This window comes from Homo sapiens, chromosome 11 (assembly GCF_000001405.40).
Source record: "Homo sapiens chromosome 11, GRCh38.p14 Primary Assembly".
Classification (NCBI taxonomy): domain Eukaryota; kingdom Metazoa; phylum Chordata; class Mammalia; order Primates; family Hominidae; genus Homo; species Homo sapiens.
The window spans coordinates 122,963,889-122,987,128 of NC_000011.10; the positions used below are offsets into that span (position 1 = coordinate 122,963,889).

Consider the following 23,240-nt stretch of genomic DNA (forward strand, 5'->3'; position numbering starts at 1 on the left):
TTTAATTGTGTTTTTCCATCTTGAGTTTCCAACAAGAGCATCCTTTTAAAGGGAGCTTTTTTTTTTTTTTTTTACAAGTAGCTGAATTTAATGACAGCTGTCTTCCTGATATTGTTTTGTATAGTAAGGAGTCTCTTGGGAGTTATCCAGAAACCAAGTCAGGAAAAGACAATATTGAGGAACAAAATAAAAGGTAAGCCTAGCAAAGGCACTGATGCTTAATGGTTCCAATTGGGGCCTTATTATTGGTTAATGAATCATTGTCAAAACATCACAGCAAGCAAGAACGTGCACAGTCTAGTCTATAGTGAGAAAATGACTCCATCCCAACAGTTATTAACTGGGAGTTGTTTGAAAACACGTCCGGTAATTATAACAACACTGGAGCTAATTGAGAACTTTGAGTTGATAGCAAATGGCCCACAATAGCAGACTAGATAACTCGGGGGATTCTTCTTTAATTACTTATTGAAAAATAGCAGAAAATGAATTGGATGTGGGTTATAGTCTGCAGATATCAAGACAAGTTTCGGTAATTCTATCCCAAGATGTGCTTCAAAATGTATCTGTTACCATTATATTAGAAGTAGCATCTGAAAATGTGAAGTTCCTAAGTAAAAATCAGGGTTGCTTTCCTAAATATGCCTTTTTTAAGATTACTTTTCCTATTAGAGTAAGAATCAGGCTTTAATAATATACATTTCATTCTAACAGTCAAGTATTCATAGGACGACTATAGGAATTCTCCTCCCTAACGCTAACTGTGTTTCCACAATTGCTATTCCCAATGGGTAAAAACAGGGAGACACAAAGATACAGAAATACTCCATTTGCCTCTTTAGTTGTTTTCCCAGTCAGGAAAGGATTTAAAACTGTAGCATGAAGTGAAATTTTTGAATGACTGTGGATTTTGTTTATCCGTTGTGCTTGTTCTCCCTACATCAGTGATGATAAAATATTGTCAAAATAATATTTTTCCATACTATAAAGGCAAAATAAAAGCAAGGACATATGTTCTAATAAAAAGTTACATTTAGACGTTTATTCCACTTTTTGAAATATATTGAAGGAGGGTCCCAGAAGCTGAAAATCTGATGCTCAGCACTGTCCCCCCACCCTACTGCCTCCAGACTAAGTGCAATGTTTGTTTCTACACACCCTCTAGCTTCATTAAGCAAAACCACACATCTATCTCACAAAGAGACAGAGGAAACGTAAAATATCCCAATTTCCTAAGCAAACACCTGGCCAATGGAAAGCAAAAGGCTTCGGATGGAAGACTTCATTCATTCATTCGTTCATCAGACTCTCTAAATTACTTCCTAGTGTGAAACACTCCCACTTTTCATGTTTGGTTATTTACTTTTGGCTCAGTAAAATAATTGGAAAGTTGACACTTTTCCAAAATGTTAGACAACACATTGCAAGATACAATAAGATACAAAATGAATAATATTTTCAGCTCTCTCCACCTCTCAATATATGGGCTCTGGAAAATATGAAGAAAGGGAAAAAGAATTTGGTGAACAGGATTTATCTCCCTTGCTGCCTCTCCATTGCCTTTTCATTTTCCCCTTGCAAACCTGGGTAATGTAAGTAATTAATTTTCAATAAGCTGAATAAATGGTCTTCCGCTATTAAATAGCTCTAACAGGTTGAAAGGTTTACAATGATGTGAGCATTCCAGGCAAATGTATTTAGTGAAGCCTTGGAAATCTCTGATAAGATTTCATAAATACCCTTTGCTGAACTGGCAGCTTGTAGAGACCAGCACTGATACTGGGGCTGCTAAACGGGCTACTCAGGGCACCCTCTGTCACTAGGGTCTCAAGCTTTTGCAAGAGAGGTTTTAGTGCTAGATATCCCTATGGTTCAAATTTCATAGTAGGGGAAATAACTGCCCAAAATTTAAAACCCAGAAAATATGATCAGCCGTCCTTTGGGAAGCTGTCTAAACAGAGGAAGGAAGTCAAGAACAAACTGAATAAAACCAGTTCAGATCTCTATGTTTTATTCTTTCCTCTGTGGCAAAATCATCTCCCAAATCAATCTTACATTTTATTTTTTTACCATCCAGACAACTATCAAAATCATTATCATGAAACCTGGTTGGCCCTGCCTCATATCATATCTCCACCCTGTCACCTGGCAGTGATGTCTTTTCCCATTTCCCCTGCTTCCACACAATGGTGACACTTTGAAGTAGTGCTGATGAGGTTCCCAAATCTGTTGTTTCTGCTTAAAATTGATAATCTCCTATGATAAAAACCTCAAGCATCTATTTTTAATGAAACCTTTAGATGAATATCAAAGAACTATTTAGCCATGCCTAATATTTTAATTAGATTATATTCTCAATTTAACCCATTAAACCTCCTTTGATGATCCCAATATTTAGTGTTTAGCCTCAGATGCATGAGGTAATGAATACTGGACCTTTTGATTTAATGAGAATTTCAGCTCTTCCAGCCTGCGCCTCTTTGTATACCTTTTATTTTGCTGGCTATAGAATTCAGTTAATTGAAGGAGTCTCTTACCATCACACATTAAGGAGTATAAATTAGCATCCCTATTCTGATTGGAAAATGCGAGCAGACAGTTTTGCTTTGATCTGAGGACTGAGCTGCAGAAGCCAGCAGCCCTCTGAAAATGAGCTGATGGCCCTTGTTCCCAGGGCAAAATGCAGATGCATCCATGTGTCACAAAACACTTAATGTCTTAATTGATCATCTCCCAATTCTTCCTGTCCTGTGTGCATCATTCTCTTTAGAGACTTGTATATGCGTCTGTCTGTATATGTCTATTTGTGTATCTGTATCTTTGTCTTTCTCTCTCTGCTCATCCTTTCTGTTTCTCCCCTCTCCTCAGGCAGCTAGGGACCTAGGTTTTAAATTAATCTGAGACAAAGGAAAATGAAATAATATAAATTCCCTCACCTTGAAATTTATAAGACTGTCTGGCAGAGCTATTCAGAACCTTCCACAGGCAAAGATTCTTAAGAACTAACTCTAACTTCCAATGCTCTCAACCAGGCAGATCCCAAGCCGTTGGTACTGCATCACTTAATATGAAGTAGATAGGCTATTCTGTGTTTTGGCAAGGAAATCAGCCTTCTTATCTGTTCCAGTGATAATGCAATTCTCCTGTAGCTCAACAAGTCAGTTACATAAAAGAAATGTCAAGGTAAAAGATCAACACCTCCATCACTCACTGTAAATGCCAAAATAAAACAGAAAATTCAAATTATAGGACTTCTGGATAAATATGGTATACTGAACACACACACACACACACACACACACACACACACACACACATCTATTTCATTCCCTTGACAAGTCCTACTAAAATAACAGTAAAGGTTTTTAAGTGACATAAGTATATAAGAACAGGGAGAACAGGAGGAGGGACAATAGTAACAACATTTTGAAAACTGGAAAGCATATGAGTTGTTTAAAAGAATTAGCAGACTCAAAAAACACTAAATTCTTTTTATATTTTCATATAATATGAGATTTCTCCAAAATACTAAATTCTAAGCTAGCAATAGGAAAGCCAAGAATCAATCTGACTTACATTCTAGAATACCCAAAATGCTCAGGAATTAATGGTGTCAGTTACCTCTCAAAGTAGGAATGAATGGAGACGTGGGGCAGGGGGAGCTAATGAAGGGTAACTGCATGAAAGTCAGTTTCAGAGCAGTTACACCTGTAAATCCTTTCCTCAATTCCCATGCAGCCAAGCACAGCCCTTGCACTGCCACAGTAAAAGACACTGCCCTAGTGTCTTTGGAGTCAGGGACAATTGGTTCTATTGAGGATGCACAGTACGTGCTGAAAAAAGAGTCAATAGTGAACATGTGTACTGTAAACACAGAAACCTCTGGTCTTCCATTTGCCTCCCAGAACGTTGGGACTTTATCCTACAAGCAGGAATTTGGAAGGAAAGTTCTTCTCTGGGGAATCTGACCAGCCTAAAAAAAGACCTAAAAATCCTGACTTCAGAGGTTCTCCAACTAAAGACCCCAACCTTGTTATCCTACAGTTAAACCTCAGAAATCAACGAGTCCCATCCATGTACTCAGTTTCCTATCAGCTTTCTGGCCTCTCACTTAAATATGAGCAGACAACCAAGAATTTCCAAACATCGGAGGATATGACACAGGACCATTTTAAAAAGGAACAAGAAAATTAAAAGAGATCTTGGGAATTAGAATTAGAGTCAAAAAATTAAAAACACAAAAATAAGGTTAGAAGACAACATTGAGGAATTTTTCCAAAAATCAGAGAAAAAAGGCAAAGGGATAGAAAATAGGAGATAAGAGATTAGAAATTTAGAGAATAAATCCAGGGGGTAAAAATCCAAATAACAGGAGATCTATAGAAATCATTAAAGAATTCAAGAGTACTCCCCATAACTCAAAAAAAAAAATACATTTTCAGACTTAAAAGAGTTTATTGAATACCTGGAACAATGGATGAAAATAAACCTAAAGCAAGGCATATAATTGTAAAATGTCAGTATACTGGCTACAAAGAAAGTATCCTACAAGCTTCCAAAAAGGAAAATAAATGAATAAATAAAACAAGACACACATAAAAAATCAACAATCGAAGTCGTTTTAGACTTCACAATAGCAATTGGAAGCCAAAAGTCAGTGAAGTGATGCACTCAAAAGTATTCAAAAATGATTTCCAACTTAGAATGCTATACTCAGCCAAATTACTAATAAAGCATGAAATTAGGATAAAGATACTTTTAGATAAGGAAGATCTCCAAACATTTACCTCTCATGTACCAATTGTCAAGAAACTGTAGTAAACTGTGCTCCACCATAATGAGAGAGTAAACCAAGAAATTAAAAAGATATGAGAAACAAGTAAAATACAATGAAATTAAAGGAATCCCCAAGATGCTGGGAAGGGAGAGCCATTTACATAGAATCCAGAATGGAGCAGATCAGAAGGCTCTGGGAGAGGTGTGTTGAGGAAAATGAAATGTTAAGAATTTGTGAATATCTTGAGAGTGTGATACAGACAAACGGCAAAGAGTTTGGGAATAAACTAGTCATAAGTACATTAAAATTAAGAATAATAAAATAAGTGTTAATTCCAAGGAAAACAAAAAGTCTCGCAGAAAAGTCATTGATTACCTGGCTTAGCTGAGAATTGCATGTACACATCATCACAATGCTCTAGGCCGAGCACGGTGGTTCACTCTTGTAATCCCAGCACGTTGGGAGGCCAAGGCGGGCAGATTACTTGAGGTCAGGAGTTCGAGACCAGCCTGGCAAACATGGTGAAACCCTGTCTCTACTAAAAATTCAAAAAAATTAGCCAGGCATGGTGGTGGGCGCTTGTAGTCCCAGCTAGTCGGGAGGCTGAGGCAGGAGAATGGCGCTAACCTGGGAGGCGGAGCTTGCAGTGAGCCGAGATTGCGCCACTGCACTCTAGCCCGGGCGACTGAGCGAGACTCCGTCTCAAAAAAAAAAAAAAAAAAAAAAAACCCTCATAGAACTATTTGACTCTTTAAACAATGTTCATGGTGATAAAACCCTAATCTTTAAAATTAAAGAACTTAGGAAGGGAAGGAGAAAAAAAACAGATGGAAAAAGAGCAGAGCATGCATACAGTATTCGTTTTTTGCTCATAGCATGTAAATTATTCTCATCTGAAACTCAGGATGAGGAGCACCCTTCTATCTTATGACCATTGTTTTCCACAGCCTATTTCCAATCTCAAGTCAAGCACTGTGGAAAAATAAAAACTATTTAGCCATTCTTTAATTTCCAGCTAGAATTTGGCAACTACACTTAGCCACTCCATCATCTATAGCCATGGAGACTAGGGTGACAATAGATGTTAGAAATGTTCAGCTAAGGGCAGGCGTGGTGGCTCACGCCTGCAATCCCAGCACTTTGGGAGGCCAAGGCAGGTGATCACGAGATCAGGAAATCGAGACCATCCTGGCTAACACCGTGAATCCCCCTGTCTGCTAAAAATATAAAAATTAACTGGGCATGGTGGCATGCACCTGTAGTGCCAGCTACTTGGGAGGCTGAGGCAGGAGAATCACTTGAACCCAGGAGGTGGAGGTTACAGTGAGCCAAGATGGCGCCACTGCACTCCAGCCTGGGCAACAGAGCAAGACTCCATCTCGGAAAAAAAAAAAAAGGAAAGAAAGAAATGTTCAGCTAATTCCCAAAGTTTATATTAGTCAATATTGTTAAACAACTTATTCTTGTCATAAAGAGATATCCATCATGGGTTTTTTTTTTTTTTGTCTTTTTTTTTTTTTTTTTTGAGACAGAGTCTTGCTCTGTTGCCCAGGCTGGAATGCAGTGGTGAGATCTTGGCTCACTGCAACCTCCACCTCCCGGGTTCAAGCGAGTCTCCCTCCTCAGCCTCCCAAGTAGTTGGAATTACAGGCATGCGCCACCACTCCCAGCTAATTTTTGTATTTTTAGTAGAGACGGGGTTTCACCATGTTGGTCAGACTGGTCTCGAACTCCTGACCTCAAGTGATCCAGCCACCTCAGCCTCCCAAAGTGCTAGGGTTACCGGCGTGTGCCACCACGCCTGGCTCATCATGTCTTTTTTTTTTTTTTTTTTTTTTTTTTTTTGAGGTGGAGTCTCGCTGTCTCCCAGGCTGGAGTGCAGTGGCGCCATCTCGGCTCACTGCAAGCTTTGCCTTCCAGGTTCACGCCATTCTCCTGCCTCAGCTTCCCGAGTAGCTGGGACCACAGGCGCCCCACCAGTCCTGGCTAATTTTTTTGTATTTTTGGTAGAGATGGGGTTTCACCGTGTTAGCCAGGGTGGTCTCGATCTCCTGACCTCGTGATCCGCCCATCTCGGCCTCCCAAAGTGCTGGGATTACAGGCATGAGCCACCGTGCCCAGCCCATCATGTCTTTTTTTAAGCTAAAAAGTTCTGTAAAAACTTTAGAAGAAATCGTGCCTTTTCCCTAGTAGATTCCATACTGGAATCGTAGGCAAGTCTTTATCACTTAAGAGGGTTCCCATGAATTTGAATTCTAACTTCTCTCCCCACATAGCATTACGTCTGTCACCAAATAGGATAACAGAAACTCCAGGGCTGGATGAGTGTTGGATAAGTAATGGGGCGGAAAGGACCCTTCTAATGGAAACATCCTCAGTGAAGGCTCTGAATCCTATTTCATTCAGGGCTTACACATCCTCTCTTAGCCCAAGAGGTAGAACAATGACAGACAAAGAGAAAATAAGATGAAGTTATTTTAGAAAATAAAATTTCTTTGAAAGAGACATAACTCCTTTGTAATGATGTGGTTAGGCCCAAGACTAATAACTTTTAGTTAACCATGTAACAGTTGTAGTACTATGGATGTTTGGAACATATCACATTTATCACTGATATGTTCAGATCTATATTGTAATTCATTATCTTCCTCTAGCTCTTTTCATCCAAGACCTCACAGTAGGTACTTTCATAGTTCTTATCTCATCCCCTCACCATTCTAAACTGATTCATAGGGCTCTAACCTCATTTTTCAGATGCCAAGTTACAGAAATAATGTTATCATTGGTAAAAGTAAAATTAGAATTTAAGCATCAGCCTGGCACAGTGGCTTACACCTATAATCCCAGCACTGTGGGAGGCAGAGACAGGCAGATCACATGAAGCCAAGAGTTAGAGGCCAGCCTGGCCAACATGTTGAAACCCTGTCTCTATCAAAAATACAAAAATTAGGGCCGGGCGTGGTGGCTCACACCTCTAATCCCAACACTTTGGGAGGCTGAGGTGGGTGGATCACCTGAGGTCAGGAGTTTGAGACCAACCTGGCCAACATGGTGAAACCTAGTCTCTACTAAATATATATATATATATACACACAAAAAAAAAAATTAGCCAGGCATAGTGTTATGTGCCTGTAATCCAGCTACTCTGGAGGCTGAGGCATGAGAATCACTTGAACCTGGGAAGCAGAGGTTGCAGTGAGCCTGGCTGACAGAGTAAGACTGTCTCTAAAAGAATAAAACAGGCTGGGCATGGTGGCACACACCTGTAATCCCAGCTACTTGGGAGGCTGAGGCAGGAGAATCGCCAGAACCCAGGAGGCAGAGGTTGCAGTGAGTCGAGATTGTGCCACTGCACTCCATTCTGGGTGACAGAGTAAGACTCTGTCAGAAAAAAAAAAAAAAAAAAAAGAATGTAAGCCTCTAAGTCAAGCCATTCATCATGCTAAATCTAATGTGGTTACCCAATACTATAAAGAGAGTAATGGCCGGGCGTGGTGGCTCAAGCCTGTAATCCCAGCACTTTGGGAGGCCGAGGTGGGCGGATCATGAGGTCAGGAGATTGGGACCATCCTGGCTAACATGGTGAAACCCCGTCTCTACTAAAAATAAAAATAAAAATAAATTAGCCGGGCGTGGTGGTGGGAGCCTATAGTCCCAGCTACTCTGGAGGCTGAGGCAGGAGAATGGTGTGAACCCAGGAGGCAGAGCTTGCAGTGAGCCAAGATCATGCCACTGCACAGCAGCCTGGGCAACAGAGCAAGACTCCGTCTCAAAAAAAAAAAAAAAAAAAAAAACCAAAAAAAAAAAACACAGAGTAATAAGAGAAGGCTCATGGAATTCGTATCAATGAAATCATGGAGGAAAGTTTATCAGTGTACACACTGGGAATTCTCAGAGAACAGGCATAAATGAAATGGAAAAGAAATATGTCATTGGGAGGGGGGTTACAACCAGAAAATACAATAGGAGAGAAAACACAAGAACCATTCTGAATTTTCATCTCACTCCTAAATATTATTGGAATTATCTCTGACTGTTAGATGTATTAATTTCATAACTTGCCTGATAACAGGCTGTGTAATTTCAGACAAGTCAATATCTCTGACTGTCAGTTGCCTCATCTGTAATTAAAAGAGAGCAGGTCAAAATTTTTATAGTGGAGAAATGTAGAAATTTAAGATAGCTAAGAGATCATCTAGCTCATCCTATTGTATATAGGACTACTTTCTAAATAGGCTTCAATGAAAACAGGGCTAAGGAATTTAGTACCTTCAGGAAAGCTCATTCAACTTTCAGATGGCTCTTAATCAGAAGTTTTTCCAAAAGTTGATCTAAGATTTTACTAGATAATTTCTACCTGCAATGTTAAAAACTTATACCCAAAATTGCTATGAAAAATCTTCTCCTCCATATGCTACAATGACAGTAGCTCCACAATCACTTTTATCACAACATGAGTTATTTGTAAGGTAAGATAATTAACGTTGGCTTCTAGTCTTAATTCCACCACTGTCTATGTGATGTTAGCAAAGTACTCACCACTATATCTGGGCCTTAATTTCTCCAATTTATAAAATGAAGGGCTTAGATTTTGTCAAATATCTCTTCTAACACTGACAATTTCTTCCTGACTGTATCTTTGTCCTTGACTTAGTGGAACATCACTTTGTTCTCGCTGACTTTCTAGAATGAGGTGTTGGAACTTCTTTAATAAATAAAGAAATATCCTTTTCCTCTCTTTGTTGTTTCCCTTAAAACTTCTAATTGCTGTGGATATATGTGTTTAAGTTAAAGTATAGAAACTGAAATCTTTGTGAGATAAAAACTTTAATAACTTGGGACTTGCAGTCCCTTTCCTACAATAAAAAAGATAGATTAGGATCTTAACAGTTAGAAAGAACCGTACAGGATATCTAGCCCAATCTCCAACTACTGGAGAAATCTGTAATAGACAAGCCCTTATGTTGTGTCTTCCAGCCTCTGGGATTTCTAGTGAAAACGTACTCAATGTTTTGTGGACTTATCCTGTTCTATTGATGTACAACACAGTGCCTGTCTTCAAATGTTGCTCCAGAATCTGCTTCCCTGGAATCACCCATTGATTCTGGTTCTATCATCGGTTAGCATGGCAGAATAGATATACCTCTTCATGCTTAATAGCCCCGTAACCATTCATATTCAACTACCATAGCTGAACCTCCTTCCCCACTTCTCCCCCAAAGCTTTGCTCCTCCAAGCTAAAGCTCACACTTCTTTATTTGTTGTTTTCCACACCCTTTACTATCCAGGTTCCTGCATAGTGGATGAGTTTTAGCTTGTCTATATTCTCTTTAAAATGTGATGCCAAAAATATAAATGTATAAAATACGTCAATTAACTTGTTATTTTTCACATATATTGAGCCCAATTCAGGAAGACCAGGGAGTCACTGCTTCAACTAAATATGTTTATTGCACAATTCTCTTAGCACCAGAAAGCATTCTGCTTGCTCTGTGCCTTCACATCTCTCTCTAATTATCAAATACATTGATGAAAGCCAGCCCTCTATCTTTTCAATTGGTGTCATGGACTCCAGCTCAGCATTTCTTAGTGCTAACATCAGCTAAAACCGGGCTGTATGGTATATTGTCCATTTCTTACATTCTCACATCATGTGAGCAGAAATATTATCAGGAATCCCTCTCTGAGAATCTATGAAATGAAGTCCATCAGAAACACAGCATTCGAACAAGTGCAGAACAAATTATTTATGACATGTGGGATTAGATCTAAAATGACTTCCCTACCTTGGCTATTTTGTGATATTTTTGCTTCTTCAAAATTAGACCTCTGAATGTCTTTTAAAGATATATCATAATAAACATAGTTTTGTCAGATCTTTACCACAAGTGAAACTGAGTTGAAGCAAAAGCCTGGGTTATTCAGACAAAATACTTTTTCAGCCTGTGGAAGCTTTGATCAGTATTGAAAGCCAAAACCAAAAAGCACTGTCATGTTACATTAAATTGAGACTAAATTGTGCCTATCCTTTATCACTATCACTCACTCACTATATAAAAATAAATAAAACTAGAACTTTGCTATTCGATTGTTTGCCATCAATTACAGGGAATTTTTTGATGAGAAAACTGTGCCATAGTTGGCGTGGCTGGTGCCACAGTTCTCACCTCTTCCCTTGCTACCTAATCCACCAAGAAACCACCACAGGGGAGCACCAGGGTAAGGAGGAATGAGTATCTTCCCAAGTTTAATGCTCATGAATTATAGACCCAAATAGTCCCTGGGCTCCAGGACTCATCCTGCCTCCAATCAGGCAGCGCCGTGCATATACTAACAGCTTCCCTATTTACCTGCTTTTTGAAGACAAAAAGGTAATGAAATACACCCAATCCACTCCTGTTAGACTCAGAACAGGCCCTTGACAAGTTATTGTGAAAGCAGAAGACAGAAATGCCTGGTGCTTTTGAGTTTGGATTCACCATCTAATTTACACACACACACACACACACACTTTTGCCCAAATACAGTTTTTCTACTCACTTTAAAGATTCTTTCAAACCCCTATTTAGTATTTGTTCTTCGTGGGATTAGAAGAATTCGATTTTTCCCTTGGCTCCATAATCTTGTGTAATAGTACCCCTATACACAAGGGATACACACACTTTCCCTTCCAAGTTACCAAGAACATTCTCAGTCACAAATCACTTTTTTTTCCACCAAGTCTTTTGTCATATTGTAAAGCATTTGCCAAAAAATTCTGCCTTAAAACAGTACTGCCATCATCTGAACAAGGGAGGGAGGAGAAAAATCTGAGCATAGATTTGCTTTTAATAGCCACAATCTTTAGGTTGTGTAATCTAAAGAGATGAGAGAGGTGTTCTTATAAAGTGATAGAGACAAAATGCCAATCAATGCATTGTTACCAAGAAAAATAAATAAATAAACTGCATGAGAAAAGAAGTGAACAAGGAGACAGAGGAGACATTTTTTAATCCTTCCTTGGCTGTTAGCTAGTCCTGATTTCATTAGTAAATCCTTCAATCTTGCTAAGCCTCAATTTCCTCGTCTATGAAAGGGAAAAAATACCCATATGTCATCTGAGACTCACAAGATCATTGATTGATTACAGAGCACTTTGGAAAATCCAAAAGGCTATACAATGCTTACGTTTTAAAACCAATAATTTTGCCTCCTAAATGATGCACTTGGATAAGCCGTCACTCTGACACTTATCTTTACCTGGGATAATGTTTCTCCAACAAGCCTATTGCAGAAAAACGAAAAGGCCTCCTGCTACATTCACATAAGGATAGAACTTAGACCTAAAATGATCTTTAGGATTCATCCCCATATTGGAGAAATAAGAAAACAAAAAGATTAACCCAAGCTCACACCCACTGTGGTTTTTATAATTATTATTAATCATTAGAACCCGAGGGTCAGGATTCCACTCAGTCCTACTAATTCTTTTCCAGCCTTCCTGGACTCACTTACCTAGAGACACAACCAGAAGCGAAAGAATCAGAAGGTGAGAGTGCCTCTGGCACAGCTGCTATATTTATATGTGTACTGAGTGTGTAGGGTCATCACACAATTCGGTAGTATAATTTCAAACTCCAAATATCAATACATCTCTGTCTCTTCAGCATTTCAGAGCCACAGAATACCAGAGCCACTTTTCCACTTAGGTGGAACTCAAAACCATTAATCAAACGATTCGAAACAGAAAATTTGGAGTGAGAGGGAGGGGATCAGTTAATGAAAGGTTATTCGCAAGTTCATTTCTACAGGGACTAGGAAACTGCCTAGGGCCGAGGGGAGGGGGCGTACGCGTAGGAGAACGCGGTGGCAAACCATTCCTGGAAACGCGTGATCATTCCCAGTTTTGCCCTGCGAGCCTACAAACCCGGTAAAAGAATAAGAGACCTCCCAGGGGAAAAGGAGAGGGGTAAAGCGCAAAGTCAATCAGACCCCCGCCCCATCTATTCCCCAAACAGGTGCACGCCCGGAACGCCTTTAGCCTTAACCCTTTGGCCTTCATCTTGATTTCCTAAAATGCACTGAGAATGAATATTTCCACACACAACCCGAGGAACACTCACTTTTAAAATATCAGTAGCCCGTGGAACGTGGAAGCGTTGCGGGACAGGAGCGCAACAAGTTCGGGAAGCAGAAATTGCTCTAGGGGTTTTCTGTGCCCAAGTTTCCCGCCGCGCGCTGGCGCCGCGCAGTACGCGGGAGGCAGGGCGTAAGGGGCGTCTGCGCCTGGGGGCTACAAACTCAGGAAGGGTGCCAGGATGCAGAACCGCGAGCTCTAGAGGAGAACAGGGACGGGAGAGGATGGAAGCGCCGCCCAGAGAAGGAGGGAGTCGCCTTAGTATTTGAGTCAGAGATGGGACTCTGGGGATGGGGGATGGGGGCGAGTGGGAGGTTAGTGACGAGCAGTGCACGAGTCTGTCCTGAAACTGGACGTTTTAAAGATCAGATTGTGGTTCTATCTGGATCTCGGCGGAGCGGAGGCCCCAGAGACCTGGTCCCTTTGCAGCCAAACGGACTGCCCAAGAACGGGCAAGGACTTGGCGTGGAGAGGAAAGAACAGAGCTAGGGGCAAGTTGCTGAAAGGCGAGGGAGAAAGGGGTCTATGATCGGAGAAAACAGAGAGCCGAGAGCTGAATTTCCAGTCTGGGACGCGGTACTTGGGCTGGTCCCTGACCCCAAGGACGACGGACGCAGGAAAATGGGCGCCCGGGCGCACAGTCTCCCGTGGCTGGGACCGGGAGGGCTAGAGGGGAGGCGGGAGGCCGGGCCGCGGGCCGTGCTGGCTCCGCACCGGCCTGGAGGACAGGTGGGTTTTGTTTGTCTTCCAGGAGCGGATTTCCAAGGCCCGCCACGAGACTGGAGTCTGAGTCTTCCGGTCCAGGAGGGAACCGCGCTCGGCCCCGCAGTCTCCTCCCCTGCCTACTACCCTCCCCAGCCTGGCGGCTCAGAGCACGTGCGGCCCTGAGCCCAGCTCCCCCTCGTCTCCAATGTCCACCTCGTCCTCTGGCTCGGTCAGCACGAAGGGACCGGCGGGCAGGCTCAGCCGAGCCTCGGCGGCGGTGGCGGCCTCTGAACCGCGGGGGCTGCCCTCGGGGCTTTCTGGCCCGTCTGGTGCTTTGGGTTCGTCTTGGCTTTTCCGCAGTTGCTTTTTATGCTTCATCCGCCGGTTCTGGAACCACGTTTTCACCTGATTTCGGGGAGATAAAAATAAAATCATGTCATTCCTCCAAATCTGAGCCATCGCTGGGGTTTAGGAAAATGGGCTGCAGTCCGTTGATGAAGTATCCAAGAGCGGTGATAGCCTCAACTGCTCATAAGTTATCGCCTTAAGCCGAATGAGAATCGAACAGTCTGAGGCTTTCAGGAGTAACTGTCCCAAAATAATGATGAGGATTAACATGGGTGGTTAGCAGTTATGCATATTGTTATGAATTAGAACTACTAATAGTAGGTGCTGCGTGGGCAAGTCTCTTTTACGCTCAGCTGATGTTCCTCTGATTGAGACATCTAACCACCTGATCCGCAAGACTCCTGGACAAGAAGATGAGAATTGAAACTCCGCGTTCTCATCGGAGAGAAAATCAGACCCGGGCCTGGCAGAGCTAATGATTTCATAGCAAGAGGCGTTCCGGGTAGAGACTATGAAAGATGGGGAAGAGAGGATGGGGTTTTGAGGTTGCAGGTGAATAGCGCCTAGAGGAAGATAAAAACCTTTCTTCCACTCAGGACAGGGGAACAGGGAGAGAACTTAAACCATAGTGTGTGTGTTGGGGTTGGAGCGGAGGTGCATGTGAACACTGGCCGCTGTGAGAGAGATTGAAGTGAGAAAGGGGGAAAAAATCTCCTTGTGTGGGCTTCTCTCAGGACAAGAACTCGCCTGAACTCTTACCATTTACCTCTGACCCGGGTTCCCAGCCTGGTCGGAGAGGAGTGAGGAAGGCATACGAATAAGAGTTCTTAACCTGGAGGTGGTCGTCAGAATTACCTGAGGAGTGTTTCCTTCCTGTCCAGAGCCCCGCTCGAGAAATTTTGCTTGGGTAAGTATGACATGGGGTTGGGGTGTCGGTACTTTTTTTTTTCTTTTTCTTTTCTTTTTTTTTTTTTTTTTTTTTTTTTTTTGAGACGGAGTCTCGCTCTGTCGCCCACGCTGGAGTGCAGCGGCGCGATCTCGGCTCACTGCAACCTCCGCCTCCCGGGTTCAAGCGACTCTTCTGCCTCAGCCTCCCCAGTAGCTGGGATTACAGGCGCGCGCCACCACGCCTGACTAGTTTTTGTGTATTTAGTAGAGACGGGGTTTCACCATATTGGTCAGGCTTGTCTGGAACTCCTGACCTCGTGATCCGCCCGCCTCGGCCTTCCAAAGTGCTGGGATTACAGGCGTGAGCCACCGCGCCCGGCCAGGTGTAGGTAATTTTACGAAAGCTCTTGGGAAAGGCTTAGAATAAGCGTCAGCGGGGTCTATTTCTACTCGAACTCCACAAGGTCCCGAAGGTATTAAGACTTGAAGGCAGAGAGGAACGAAGCAGAGATCAGGGCCTCCCTCTCCTCCCGCCCACCTGCGTCTCGGACAGGCTGAGGGCCGTGGCCAGCTCCACTCGTTCTGGCGTGGACAGGTAGCGCTGGATCTCGAACCTCTTCTCCAAGCCCGAGAGCTGCGAGTCAGAGAAAACCGTGCGGGCTTTGCGGCGGCGGCAGTGCTTCCCCGGCAGCTCCGCGTGCTGCGGGTGCGGGAACAGCGCTGGGACTGGCATCCCTGCAGAGAGAAGAGCAACCAAGTGGGCAGAGCGTGGGTCGCCGGAGAGCAATCTCCGCTCCGCTCCCCTCCCCTCCCCTAGCCCCCAGTGCCTTCCTCCGCCCCTCGCCTCCGTCAGTCTGCTCGCCCCAAAGCCCCTCAAGCCTTTCTCTCAGGAATCCAGGGCAGAGGAAGAAAAAAAAAAAAAGCCGCAAGAATAGCGCTTGGAGATCTTTATCTGGAAAGTCATCTAGAAATACAAACAACAAACAGTAAATAAAACAGAAAAGAAAATCGGAAAATAGATCCGGAGGCTGTTTAAAAATGTCTTCTTGGAGAGACTTCCGTAGGGTCGGCCAGCGCGGAGTCTTCAGTTGCGCCTGGCCAAGTTTTTTGCAAACGTCAAATGGCCCAGGAGCAGTCCTGTCCCCAGCCCCCACCTATCCTCCTAGACCCCTGATGACACTCATTGCTGTTCTGGGGCTGGTAGATGCATGGATATAATCTTGCCTCCAAACCTTACTGAAAAATACCTTTCTGTTTCCCAAGCCACCCCTATCCCCCTGCAGCCAAAGGGAGAGCAAAACTGCCTTATCCGGAGAAGCCCCGGAGCCGAAACAGAGGAGCATTTCTCGCCTCTCACGTCTCCTCGTCCGTTTCGGGGTCGCGCTAGGGACCCAGCTACCTAATATAGTCCTCATTCTTTTTCTCATTCTTTCCCTCTCACTCCAAGCCCAGCGAAGCAGAAGGGTTTGAGGGGTTTTTCCATGGCCGGGTCCGGGGAGACTTGTCTTTCCTGACCCTCGCAGGCTTGACTCTGTCTGAGACGCACCAAGCAGAGAGAAGCTGCCACAAGCAACATCGGCCAATCCCAGAGAAAATAAACAAACATAACAACAACCAGTGCGGGTACTTAGGGCTTTGGCCACTGCTGTATGGGAGGACCACCGGAGCAGCTGAGAATAGATTGTCACCGGCGGGTGGTGAAGCCAGTGCAGAGATGCGGACCTGGATTTACAAACACTTTTAGCTTTGTTCTGGATTCCAGCGCGCACAAACTGCCTCCTGTCTTGCCCCCAGCCCCTCCACCGACCATGGTTGTTGCCGCCTCTGAGCTATGAGTCTGGACTCAACGAATTATTCTATTCTGGCTAGATTGAAAACGCCAGAGAAAAAACCATGGATGTGGCCTTTCAGAGGGAGACAGAAAAAAATCGGAGTATTTCCCCACATCCTCCTGTCCCAAACAGACTTTGCTAGCCCTTGCTTTTTGTCAGACCAGAGAAATCAAAATACTTTAGCACCCGGCTCCAGCAATGCTGGCAGCTGGGGCAGAGGAGGGTAGCCCAGACTAAGATTGTGAGTTAAATGTTAGATGTTGAGGATGCGGAGGGTTAAAGAGCTGCATCTCCCCCTACCCCCCTTTTTTCTCACCCTTTCTGTCTTATTCAGGCTAGCCCAAACCTTCATTCACTTCTATGCCCCCAGCGGTATCTGCAAATGCTCAGTGCCTGGAAAAAAGAGATCTGGCCTGGACAGAGTGTTTTGAGTTTCTGTGCAGAAAAAGTTGTGTCCATGGGGTGGGATGGTCAAGGGTCTCCCTCTGAGTGGGCAGAGGCGGAGAATCAGGATTGAGAGATGGACCAAAGTGGCCAGGAAGATCACGAGCAGGGACACTGAGCACTGCCTACCAAGAGTATCGTCAAACCCTATACGCTGCCTCTTGACCAGGCACCTATCCTCCGCTATGAAGAGTGCGGAGGAATCACGAATTATCCCCGTGGGTTGGCATGCCTCTAGGGAGCTCTGCATGGCCTCAGCAATATCCTCAGCCTTCCACTGTCACTTAGGGAAAGAGGCCACCAAGCCAGGCCGAGCCAGTCTGGCCTTTCCTTGACTCCATCACAGGCTTAGGGTCTGTGCTAGAAGCCCTGCTCTCTCACTGCCCATACCTTGAGGTTCCTGTTACTTACCCGAGGTGGTGAGGAAATAAGGATGATGGTGGTCTCCCTTATGCAGAGGGTGATGGGCGTGAGGAGCCAAGAGGGTGGGTGTGGGCATGAGGGGGTAGCCATAGTCTAGCAGAGGCACCCGAGAGGCCAGAGAGCTGGCGAAATGGTCTGGGGCCACCTCTCTCAGCGGCTTGGGCTTGTGCAGCAGGATGTCCTCGATGAAGAAGGATGTGGGCCTCTGAGAAGACGCCGGGTGTAGAGGAGAGGTGAAGTTGAGATTCATCTTGAGCGGAGCACCTGCCACAGGACAAGGGCCGGGACGAAGTGGAGGACGCAGGCAGAGTCTCCAAGCCTGCTCGAAAGCCGGCAACCACCCTCCGAGGCTCGAATCTCCGCTGCTCTCTCCCGGGCCTGGGCTACCCCGGGCGCTGGAGAGGCAAGAAGACAAGCTCCTGGGTAGGTTGGGTCTCTGTGTTGGAGAATTGGCAGCTTGGAGAGGGGGGCCGGGAGAGCCAATGACGAGGCTGCCAGAGGCAGAGGGGAGGGTGCGGGAGGCTCGGGGCGGGGCGGGGAGCTGTCCGCGGTGCTGAACACCACCGGCCGAGCCTGGGAACAACAGAGCCCGCAGGGTTCTTGTTCCTACCAGGTTTCTCGACCTCAATTTCTGCCCCGTCACTGCAGGGGCTGCTTTGTTCCCAGTCGTTTTTAAAAGAAAGCCAAAAGGAAAAAGTCTCTGTTGTCCGGCAAACTCCTCTTTACAGAGGAGAAGGCACTAAAAGGGCCCCAAAGCAATAATGGATAAAGCACTTATTCAGGCATTTAGGCCTGGGTTTTAAGAGTTTCCATAATTTTGGTGGCAAAAAAAGAAGGGAGGAAGTGAGGAGAAAGGGCATCTGATACTTCAGATTGCTAGATTCTACTTAAGTTTATGGCTGAGGGAAGACTGGATTATTAAGGTAAAGAAAGAAAATGATGATGGTCATCACAACAGTCTTTACCTCAGTTATAGGCAGTGGGCAGGAGGAGGGTTATGTCTACATTAGTCAAGTTATTTGGTCTGTGTAAATATGTCCAGAGTCACCTCTTAGTGCCATCCTCCATGTCGCCTCAAATCTTTGCTTTCTCCTCATTTCACTCACGCGGCTTGCTATTTCTGCTGTTACTCTTTCAACCCTAGCCCCCCGAATTAATTGTACTAGGTTTTTGTTTCCCACTCCTTTTCCCAGCCTGTTTCCTTTCATTTCCGTCCCTCCCAATCTTTTGTTTTTTTCTGTTTGTCTTTTTCTAATCTGTCACATTTATTTCCCTGGAGTCAATTTGCTAAAATTAGGGTGATCATCTACAACACAGCAGGGGTAATTTCAGCTCACATCTCTGAAAATTGCTCTAATTATTGATGTTAAACTCAGGGAAATTAGAAGAAGCCACTTCTCTCCCATCTCCCCATTTTTAAGCTCTAATTTGTTGAAATCTAGTCGTCATCACAATTCCAATCACTACTGCTAATAGTAAAAGTGTTTTAATAGAGACTGAGTCCTCACAACCCATGCTATTAGATAATTAGAGGAGGTGTTAGAAAGCCAAGTGCTAATCCTGGGGCGCATGGGTAGGATTTCCATCTGATCTAGCAGGTAGAACAAATTAATTACCAGAATCAATTAGGCCCCAAACTACAGTGCACCAGGAAGTGGGAGCATTCTATTCCATGAGGATGAACTGGTAAATGGTAAGTAGATGAAGAGCTTGAGAGGAAGGAGGAAGGGATGTGGGGGAGACTTTAAAATAAGATCTTGGCAAGTAGGCATCTAAATGAAATCAGAATGCTTTGATCTGAAGTCCAAAACGTGATTTTTAAAAAATTCTAATAGTAGTAAGAACTGAAGAGGCCCAGCGTGGTGGTTCGCGTCTGTAATCCTAGCACTTTGGGAGGCCGAGGCGGGAGGATTGCTTGAGCCCAGAAGTTCAAAACCACCCTGGGCAATATAGTGAGGCCCCATCTCAGAAAGAAAGAAAGAAAAAGAAAAAGAAAGAAAGAAAGGAGAAGGGAAGGGAAGAAGGAACGAAGGGAGAGAGAGAGGAAGGAAGGAAGGAAATAAAATATGTGTATAAAAGAAAAAGAAAGAAAGGAAAGAAAGAAAGAAAAGAAAAGAAAAGAAAAGAAAAGAAAAGAAAAGAAAAGAAGACCTGAAAGCAGGTGGCCGTGGAGAGCAAGACAATAGACTTTCCAAAAGTCCTTTCCTAGCGCTAAGCCCTGGCCCATCGTCCTCAGTCACCAGACGGAGGAGACTGGTGAGGAGGGGCCAGGGGTGTCGGTCCACACTTCACAGACGTCCACGTACACCCCCGCTTCCATTGTGAGCTTACAGCATCAGCAGAGTAGAAATCAAGCCGTTCTGTCTCTCCACCCTATAGGCCGAGTGGCTATCGAGGGCTGGACGGGTGTACAACCAGAGTGTGGCCTGTGCCTGAGGGCGCCCTACACTCCAGCCTCACACAGAGCGCAGATTTGCACCCAGCCTTGGGGGCGGGATTTCGGCTTCATTCTGGGGAGGGGACCAACTTCTGTCGCAGAAGCAGAAGTGATTATTGAATGTCCCTTTGAGAGCAGGGGCAGTAAAAACATCTTCGAGTGACAGTTACCTTTGAGCCAAGGCACTGCAACCACCCCGTCAGAACTTACACACCTCTCAGAGTGTTTGCGGGATCGGGAAGGGAGTGGGGGGCAATGTAGACCGCCTCCTCCGTCCTTATCTTTCCCTTGTTTCGTGAGCCCTGGACTCAGCGTCCTGCTTTCCCCCAAAGCTAAGGCAATCTCCCCAGGCCCTGCTCTCAGGCGGAGAAGCCAGGAGCGATGAGGGGCGGGGCGGCTCCCGGCGCCCTCTTTTCCAGCCCCGCTCCCGCGCTGCCGCCGGAGAGGGACTCGGGGCGCAGCCGCCCCGCCTCTGCCGGGGCCCCAGGAGGAATCTAAGAAAAGAGAGATGGAGGGAGGAAATGGCATCGCTTCAGGAAGGGGCAGGACCTCCAGGACCGAAGGCGTTTTCTTTCTCTTTCCTTTCAGCGACACTGGGAAACAAAGCTCCGCGGCTGAAAAGAACACCACGCGCGGCCAGGACCCGAGCAGGGCCCTGGGGCGCTAAGGGCGGGGAAAATAGGGCATCCGGAGTGCAGGAGATTCCTCAGGGCCGCCCCCTTCTCCGGGGGTGCCCTGAGGAACCGCGGCGGGGACTCGCCGCTGGCAGCCTGCGGGTCCTGGTGCCAGCGCGCATGGGCGGGCTGTGCGGACGTGGCTGGTCCTCCAAAGGTTTCAGATCCCGTCCGGGCCGCTCAGTCCCTTAAAGCTGTGTCCCAAAGCCTAGGGGAGACAGCGAGGCTGGGGACGCCGGGAAGTTTCTCTGAGGTGTGGGGCTCCTGAGCAGAAACGCGCGGGGGATTGCCAGGGCTGCAGAAACTTTGGCTCGAGGCGGTGGCTGGCCCGCCTTACTTCCGTGGTGGGGTTAGGGAGGCCCCTCTGAAATTCAATCTTGGTATTGAATCTGGTATCTTCCTGTGGCAGGCAACGCATACCAAAGGCGGCGGCATCACCTTCCTGCCTGCTCGAGCCCTAACCCCCACCCCACCCACCAGCCGCGGGCCCCAGGGCTGCCCAGGGAAGGAGTACATTTTTAGACATTTTTAGATAGCTTGCAAAGGTTGTCTGTGGCAGGGAACGGGGACAGGGAAACTATTTTCTCTTTAAAAGCAGAGATGTTACAACGCCGGGTTTATCTCTAAAGTCTACACCAGTGCTTCCAGTAAAAATATAATGCAAGCCACACAGGTAATTTTAAATTTTCTATTAGTTACATTTTTAAAAAAGCAGAAAGTCACATTTAAAAAGTAGGAGAAAACAGGTGAAATATTAATGTATTTCACTGAACCCCAACATATCAAAAATATTATTTAACATGTAATCAATATAAATATTATTAATGAGATTTTTGCATTCCTTTTTCATACTAAATCTTCTAAATCCAGTGTGTATCTTACACTTTCCACAAATCTCAGATTAGTCATATTTCAGGTGCTCAATAGCCACATAGGGCTAGTGGCTACTGTGTTGCACAGCACTTTTAGTCAATTGCCATAGTCCCTATTACCCTTTCAAATATCCATAGACACACACAGAAAATGGAAATCAGTTGCAGAAAGCAGCCTAGCACATTCTCCAGACTTGTCCTTCATCCATTCATTACATTCAATTATTCTAAGTATTCATTGAGCACCTACTATATGCCAGGCTCCTTGCCACACACCTTCCCAAGTCTTAGGAGATTAAGTAAATGCACCTAAATCATACTTACTTTTGATTCTTACTTGACTAGAATCTGTCACCCAGGGCCAGCAGGCTGTCTCTCTGCAAAGCTGACACATAAAGCCCAGATCCTACACAGTGCCCAGAGTAAAGAAATAAAGATCAAATGAAGCCACCTCCCCAAAAGTACTCTGTTTGTGGTTTCAGCTGAAGAATTATTAAAGAAAGAAAAAAACATGCCTTTCAGAGAGCTAATAATTAAACAGTCCCTCTCCCTTTCATGTCAGCCTCAGCTAAAATGGTCATCTGAGCTGGGACTTAGTTTCCCGAAAAGATAACTCTATTGATGATCAAAGGAAGAGACTGGTTCCATTAGCCAAGTTGCCTATACCGTGGCCTTCAAAATAAAGGAAGAAATGTATTTTAGAAGTATCTGAGTAACACACTTTACTCATAACATTTTGTATTATATTGCTTGTTGTCTGTTGCAACTTACCTTCTATCTGAGTACTTTATTTTAAGCACTACCAAAGTGGATGACATGTCTACAAAAAGAAAGGGAGTTGCTGGCTGCTTCTGACAAATGCGTCTTCAAAAATAATATGTTTGCAGTGGAAATTAGGGTGTGAACCCACATGAGAACAACATGCTTAAGGATGTGGTATTCAGATCACAGTGTTCCTAATATAAGGAGGACTAAATCCATCCAATTTGCTCCTTCAGGTTGGTCAGTCTATAGGGTCAAAAACTCATTTCATTTCTCTCGAAGTTCTCTATTCTGCCTTTGATATCTCAATTCAAAGCATGTTTCATGAAGTGATAAAGAGAAAAGAAGACCTTTGAAGCATGAGAAAATGTATGCCACTTTTTTAATCCTCCAAAAGATATATGGTGGAATAAGAATGCTCTTTCATCAGTCTTTTGTTAGTATCCCACCAGTTTCTCCACTGTAGCCCAAAAGAGTAGCCAAATATATTATTAGGGAAAAAAACCCAATAAGCTAATAAACATGCCTTTTGAATATTCTTTTCTTCCATTCTAAACCATTCAAATTCTATGATCAGATTTAAAATAAAGTTTGACACAAAAAACTTCAGTTATACCAAATTAATATGCATACTTTTGAAAATAAAAGGACATGAGACTTATTACCATTGTATGTTGGGAGTATCTGGTGTTAGAGATTATAAGACCCTATCAAATTGTACATGTGGTATGGAGATGAGCCTGTAAACATTTCTCAAAAGGACTTTGTGTGTAGAGCTAAATATTAGGTATATGTTTGTTAAAGTGCTGTTTTGTTTGAAGATATTTTTCATGAAGCCAATTGATTTTTATCTTCTAACTCCCATTGATAATGCAATCAAGTTATGAACCAAAAAATGGAAGGTACAAATGTTGTCACTCTAAAGGGATTTGTCTTACAATGATAAATAATCTTAAAAGGAA

The 23,240-nt window shown here is 44.2% G+C and overlaps 1 protein-coding gene and 1 long non-coding RNA gene across 2 annotated transcripts, besides 3 other annotated features; one reads left to right on the forward strand and one right to left on the reverse strand.

The window, feature by feature from the left end:
* The first annotated feature begins 34 nt into the window (after positions 1-34).
* Positions 35-13,749, forward strand: LOC124902774 (uncharacterized). Its single transcript, XR_007062926.1, has 3 exons — positions 35-193; positions 12,253-12,305; positions 13,645-13,749. It is a non-coding gene; the product is annotated as an uncharacterized LOC124902774 (long non-coding RNA).
* Positions 12,480-13,298: an enhancer, noted in NCBI's record as "H3K4me1 hESC enhancer chr11:122847076-122847894 (GRCh37/hg19 assembly coordinates)". NCBI's record gives its function as "activates a minimal SCP1, AML or CMV promoter by ChIP-STARR-seq in primed H9 embryonic stem cells {active_cell/tissue: H9 hESC(primed)}" and the evidence as "EXISTENCE:reporter gene assay evidence [ECO:0000049][PMID:30033119]".
* Positions 13,682-17,946, reverse strand: BSX (brain specific homeobox). Its single transcript, NM_001098169.2, has 3 exons — positions 17,522-17,946; positions 15,373-15,569; positions 13,682-14,003 (listed from the first exon to the last, which is right to left on the reverse strand). The coding sequence occupies exons 1-3, from the start codon at positions 17,781-17,783 to the stop codon at positions 13,761-13,763; spliced, it is 702 nt and encodes a 233-aa protein (NP_001091639.1). The 5' UTR covers positions 17,784-17,946; the 3' UTR covers positions 13,682-13,760.
* Positions 14,806-15,408: an enhancer, noted in NCBI's record as "H3K27ac-H3K4me1 hESC enhancer chr11:122849402-122850004 (GRCh37/hg19 assembly coordinates)". NCBI's record gives its function as "activates a minimal SCP1, AML or CMV promoter by ChIP-STARR-seq in naive H9 embryonic stem cells {active_cell/tissue: H9 hESC(naive)}" and the evidence as "EXISTENCE:reporter gene assay evidence [ECO:0000049][PMID:30033119]".
* Positions 17,252-17,754: an enhancer, noted in NCBI's record as "H3K4me1 hESC enhancer chr11:122851848-122852350 (GRCh37/hg19 assembly coordinates)". NCBI's record gives its function as "activates a minimal SCP1, AML or CMV promoter by ChIP-STARR-seq in primed H9 embryonic stem cells {active_cell/tissue: H9 hESC(primed)}" and the evidence as "EXISTENCE:reporter gene assay evidence [ECO:0000049][PMID:30033119]".
* Positions 17,947-23,240: the final 5,294 nt, after the last annotated feature.

What these genes read in the sequence shown, in the direction of transcription:
- BSX (NM_001098169.2), bottom strand. Translation starts at nt 17,783, where the DNA reads ATGAATCTCAACTTCACCTCTCCTCTACACCCGGCGTCTTCTCAGAGG. An exon ending in TTATTTCCTCACCACCTCGG is followed by an intron (nt 15,570 to 17,521) that starts GTAAGTAACAGG and finishes TTCTCTCTGCAG; the next exon opens with GGATGCCAGTCCCAGCGCTG. An exon ending in TCAGCCTGTCCGAGACGCAG is followed by an intron (nt 14,004 to 15,372) that starts GTGGGCGGGAGG and finishes CCCCGAAATCAG; the next exon opens with GTGAAAACGTGGTTCCAGAA.